Here is a 6,101-nt window from a genome sequence, read left to right as displayed (position 1 = left end):
CTCGCCAAACACAAAAGCAGACGGCTTTCACTGATTTTACACCATTTCTTTTTTGAGGGGGACTAAAGCTTGCTCTGTCGAGCCTTCCCCCAGGAACTGAAAGTAAGTGAAGCCCACAGTTAACGTCCGGGTGGGAGATTTTCCCAGCAACGCGTCATGGGCGCCAGGACCACCGAGGAGGCGCCGCTGCCTTGTGGGTGAGTGGGGACGTGATGGGAACAGGTTCCCTGCGACCAGCAGGGGTCACTCTGAGGGGTCAACACTTATTCAGGCACACACTTTTCTGGTATATTTGTAAAACTCACACCTCTTATTAGGTCTTGTCTTTATATTTTAAAAAACTTGTCTGAAATAGGTGTTTAAAGACTGATAATAATGATATAGTAATATTAAGTTTGGGTTTCACAGTTGAAAAGTTTCTTTCTACTATTTTTATTATTGCATTAGAGAAAATCACCCAAAGCAATAATCAGTTGTAAACATGAATTACCTTCCTCATACAGTCCGGGCTCTAGTTTTCCGATGATAACTCAAATGCTCCACCTACGAAGTCCACACGAGGTTTTGCACTTTTCTTCCAGTGTCAGAATGAATAACCTCACCTAAATAAATATTCCTAAGAAAAGTGGACGGACACATGTGAAAAGTTCCTGTGAACCAATGAAGGGACGCTCTGGACGCTGGAGGTCGAGGCGTCATGCCTGGCAAGCGTGGGCTCGCCACCGTCCCGGGAGAACCTTAGCGGGCACGGCCTTGTTCCCTCTGCTCGGCCGCTCCCTAGTCGTAGGTGCTCTCACTGCCGAGCTCAGGATGACCCAGGAAGAAGAGGGACCGATGGTTCTGAACTTCTATCCGCTCCATTTACAGTCTCAGGAAAAATAAAACACAATAACAGCAAGTGAGCACGCCCTGGAGCAGGATTCCCTGAGCAAGCGCCGCGTGGAGCTTCTTCCTCACACGCTGGCGGCCGCCGCCTGGAGCTTCTTCCTCACACGCTGGCCGCTGCGTGGAGCTTTTCTCACACACTGGCCGCCGCGTGGAGCTTCTTCCTCACACGCTGGCCGCCGCCGCCTGGAGCTTCTTCCTCACACGCTGGCCGCTGCGTGGAGCTTCTTCCTCACACGCTGGCCGCTGCGTGGAGCTTCTTTCTTACACACTGGCCGCCGCCGCGTGGAGCTTCTTCCTCACACACTGGCCGCCGCGTGGAGCTTCTTCCTCACACGCTGGCTGCCGCCGCCTGGAGCTTCTTCCTCACACGCTGGCTGAGGTTCTGTGGGCTGCAAAATGAGGGCTCATGGATTGCTCATGTTAAGAATATTGAAAGAAGGGCTGGAGAATGGAAACGCTTCCGTTTGCCCTGAGTTTCCTGTGGCTGTTAGGGGTTTGACTTCTGCACTGCCTGCTCTCCGTGCCCCTCGCTGCTGCTGGACGCTTGCGGTGTTGTTCTGGTGGTCGAGGCAGCTTGTGCCCCTCGTTGCTGCTGGACGCTGGCGGCATTGTTCTGGTGGTCGAGGCAGCTTGTGCCCCTCACTGCTGCTGGACGCTGGCGGCGTTGTTCTGGTGGTCGAGGCAGCTTGTGCCCCTCACTGCTGCTGGACGCTGGCGGCATTGTTCTGGTGGTCGAGGCAGCTTGTGCCCCTCGCTGCTGCTGGACGCTGGTGGCATTGGCCTGGTGGTCGAGGCAGCTTGTGCCCCTTACTGCTGCTGGACGCTTGCGGTGTTGTTCTGGTGGTCGAGGCAGCTTCCATCAGAACCCGGCTGCCTCCTCCGGCTCACAGCTCAGCGTTGTTGTTCTTTCTAATGAGCCTCAGCGTCTCTCTGCCCTAATTACATTTCACTGTTTGCTAGCATTAACTATTATTTATGTAAATGATTACCTTCTAATACTACTTGCAGTACAGAATTTATTTCAATTAAGGACAGAACTTTTCCTTTCTAAATGTCCCTGTTCTTCTTTCATTTCCAGATACAATGAGCCAATTTCTCGTCACAGCCCCAGGGCACCTTTATGTCATTTTCATCAATGTTTTCTAACTGTTCTCAAGGTTTTTCTGCTTATATAATGCAATTAAAATAGAGTTTTATTCTAATTAGAGAAACATCTGAATAGAAGGGGAAGCTTTAGGAGCTCTGGACAGGGAAGGGATCTGGAACCTTGTCTCAGACCACACTCCTGTTTGTCAGTGTGGAGGCCGAGGCTCACAGGAGTCATGCTGGCCCGGACTACACCCTCCACAGAGGGCTGCAGATGGACACAGAGGTCTCTCCACACAGACACAGGCACTCTGGTCAGATCTTGGGAATTTCTTGCCAAATCAATGGCCCGAGTCTGGCATCTTACGATGGAGGCCGGATGCCTCTGCACAACCGTCGGCTCACAATCCTTAAACTTCCCAACAATGTTTCATCAGCACCACACTCCCGGCTGTGTGCACCAGCTGAGATCCTGGCCCTTACCCACCCTCAGGGCTGGCTTAGCTGCCCTTTCCTCACTGACTGCCTTTGACTGTGTGTCTAGGCCCAGGAAACTTGCCTGACAAATTACAGAGCTCTCCAGAAATAAGCATTCACTTTTATTTTTCTTTAATAATGCTTTATGCTTATACCCATAAATGCAATCATATAAATATGTAAATTACCTTGTTAGGGGTGCATTCCTTATTTTTCTCTTATTTTTTTTCTCTTTTCCATTTTCAATAACCTTTTTTCTCCTTGCCGCCTCCTCTCCCACTCCCTCCTCCAGATAGAAACCTGGCATGTAGACTTCCACGTATTTTTCTCCATGGCCATATGATAATATGCAAACACAAGCATAAATATTTAAATTCACATTTACCTTAGCCATTATTAAAAATCCCATTAATACAAATGGGATTCTATTGTACGTCTCCCAAATCTGTTTTTTTTTTAACTCATCCACAACTTTGAAACCCAAGTCAACTGATATATTTTTAATTAGCTCTTAAAAGCTCATGATGTTAATGCTGCGTCTGCTTAACCCTCCACCGTGTTAAATACAATCATCTATTCAGCTATTCTTCTACTGATGGGCATTTGCCTGGTTTCCAGACTTCTGCAACTACGAACATAGTTTGCCATAACTTTCCTTGCACATTAATTCTTACTTGGGCTTTTATTCCACAGAACAGATGCTGGGGACTAAGCTGGCTCACAGAAAGGTTGATGCATTTTTAACTTGAATGCATGCTGTCAGATTTCTCTCCAAAGTGCTTTACCAAGCCCAGCAGCCACGGATGAGACCGTGCATCTCTCCCACACCCCCATGGGAAATAGGGACCTCTCTGTATCACCTTAGCCAGGCTCGTGCAGTGATGTTTTATTATCGAGTGGCCACCAGCCGTAATGTGAGACTTGCAATGTTCCTTAGAAATTGAGATTTGATCTAAGGATTACCCTTTCATCCTGTTACCCACTTCACTATTACTGCCTTTATTACTTTTCGACTTCTAAATTTCATTTTTTTAAATGGTCAGTGGATGTTCATGTTTTCTATTCAAGTGACATTCTATATATATAGTTACTGAATTTGTTTTACTGACTGCGTGTTCAGTTTTTCTGCATCACGATTTAGGTTTATGCACTGGAGCGTCCCCATTCTAAAAGTTGTGGTTAAAATTTTCCACTACTATTTTACTGGATTGGATGGGACTGAAATCCATTGGGCTTTTTATGTATTTTGTCCCGTTCTTATTACGTTTTCATTGTTGGTTTATACTCAGGTGCTAAGTTCTGTGCATATAAATTGGTGACTGTTAAACGTGCTTTCCACAGAGTGCCCCCAGGAGGCTTTGACCCACTGCCCCCACTCAGCGCCCTCACACGGAGACCTCCACCCTCTAGCTGGCTTGCTGCCACCTCTGCCCGGCCTTCTGCACATCCCTCTGTGACTCAGTCCTTCTTCACAATCAGGTTTGGTAAACCTATTTCATAAAGAGCCACATAGTAAATATTTTATGTTTCTTGGATACACAGGGCATCTGTTGCATATGCTTCTTTTTACTTTTATAATCTTATAAAAATGCAAAGAACACGTGTAGTTCACGGTCAGTTAAACATAAACAAAAAACAAACTGAAGTCATAGTTTGCCGAACCCTGACTTATAATTTTATTAATGAGTGTTTTTTTTTTTTTTTTGTAAATAGCACGTTGGGTTTGTTTTCATTTTATTCAATTAAACATTCTTTGTAAATAATTGAAAAAAAATCCCTCTGTTGAGCCTACAAGCATGATGATCGATGTATCAGTGACAGGAAGCAAAACCAGTTGCAACAAGAGAAGACCCTGAGAATTCGGCAGGAAACCTCAGAGCCGCAGCCGCCCTGTGTGCATCATGGGGTTGAAGACTTCCCACTGGCTGCTGCTGTCGGTCTCCAGGTTGCTGTGCACAGAGGGGATGAGACGGGAGACGCGGGTGCCAGGTGCAGCCCAGTCCTGCCCAGGCCAAGCTCCTTGTGAGCACAGGTGGAATGGCTGCCTTCCAGTGGACCACAGAGGCAGTTGGCAAGCTGGGAGCAGAGGCTCTGATTGGGCCTCAGGTTGCACCCTTGTTATTTGTTTGTTTGTTTTACTGACATCTTTGTATTTGTTATAGCTTGCCAAACTTTCAGAAGATAATGAGAGCTCTAAACACAGGGCTTGATGAACTATGACTCAGCACACAGCGTCCAGGTCAGCATACAGGACACCCCTGGCATTTCCGTGTCTCAATCTCCCTCCATCGCCATTCCCTCTTCGCCAACGCAGCATCATCCTAATTCCTAACAGGAGAATTCTGTTTTCTTATTTAAAAAAAAAATTCTAATTTTCAGGCCGGGTACGATGGCTCATGCCTATAATCCCAGCACTTTGGGAGGCTGAAGTGGGTGGATCACGAGGCCAGGAGTTCGAGACCAGCCTGACCAAAATGGTGAAACCCCGTCTCTATTAAAAATACAAAAAAAAAAAAAAAAGAAAAAAAGCCAGCCGTGGTGGCACATGCCTGTAATCCCAGCTACTCAGGAGGCTGAGGCAGGAGAATCACTTGAACCCGGGAGGCAGAGGTTGCAGTGAGCTGAGATCACACCACTGCACTTCAGCCTGGGCAGCAGAGCAAGACTCAGTCTCAAAAAAAAAAAAGAAAAAAATTCTAATTTCCAATATAAATTTTGACCAATTTTTTAAAATGTTCACTTGATGAGTAAAAATTGTATATATTCACGATATACAACATGCTGTTTGGATGAATATGCATTGTGGAATCAGCTTTGACTAATGTTGACATTTCAATGAAGAGACTCATATAATATATTTTTCTGTGTCTGGCTTCTTCTCAAATGTTATTTTATAAAATTTATCCTTTTTATTGTATGTAACATTTTGATAATTTTGTTGTTCTATGGTATTTTATTGTAAGCTTATAACACGACTTACTCAACAATTCTGTTGACGAGCATTTGAGTTGTTTTTAGTGAAAGGATATGAAATCCTGCTCTGTATATTTTTCTAAGTAGATGTTGGTGTCAGTCTGCATTTCTCAGGCTACACATAGCAGTGGAATTGGTGGGATCCAGAGTCTGAGCACCTCCAGCTTCCATGAGAGACGCTAAAACGATTCCCACTGCAAAGGTGCTGGCCCGACAGGCTCAGAGTGTTCTTCTCCTCCACATCCTCCCCATCACTCAGTATCACCAGCATTCACTTATTAGCCATGGTGGGTGCATGATAACAATGCAAAGATTTTATTTTACATTTCTCTGATGACTGATGAGATCAAATACTACATCTTCATAAGTTAACTTGTTATTTGGTTAACTTTTTATTTATGTGTTCATGTGTGGTTTCAGTCTTCTCTTTTTTGAAGTCCCATTTATGACTGTCGCCATTTTCATTTTAGATCAGGGTGTCTTCTCTTCACTGGCCTGCAGTTCTCCCTGTGGTTCCTTGCTGGCCTGCAGTTCTCTCTGTGGTCCACATGTAAATCCTTTGTTGGTTGAATGGATTGTAAATAGCATCTACCATCCTGTGGCTTGCACTTTGGTGCTCTTCATAATGTCTTGTGAGATAAAGGTTTTAATTTTAACTTTAACTTGCAAATATTTCC

General features: G+C 45.3%; 1 annotated feature.

Annotated features, from left to right (window-relative positions):
* Positions 271–1,470: an enhancer, noted in NCBI's record as "MED14-independent group 3 enhancer chr2:582585-583784 (GRCh37/hg19 assembly coordinates)". NCBI's record gives its function as "activates an origin of replication core promoter dependent on BRD2, BRD4, P300/CBP and CDK7 cofactors, and independent of MED14, by STARR-seq in HCT116 cells {active_cell/tissue: HCT116}" and the evidence as "EXISTENCE:reporter gene assay evidence [ECO:0000049][PMID:35650434]".

Source organism: Homo sapiens, chromosome 2 (genome assembly GCF_000001405.40).
Source record: "Homo sapiens chromosome 2, GRCh38.p14 Primary Assembly".
In the NCBI taxonomy this organism is placed as follows: domain Eukaryota; kingdom Metazoa; phylum Chordata; class Mammalia; order Primates; family Hominidae; genus Homo; species Homo sapiens.
Note: the sequence above shows the minus strand (reverse complement) of the source record. Positions and strands in the feature narration are given on the sequence as shown.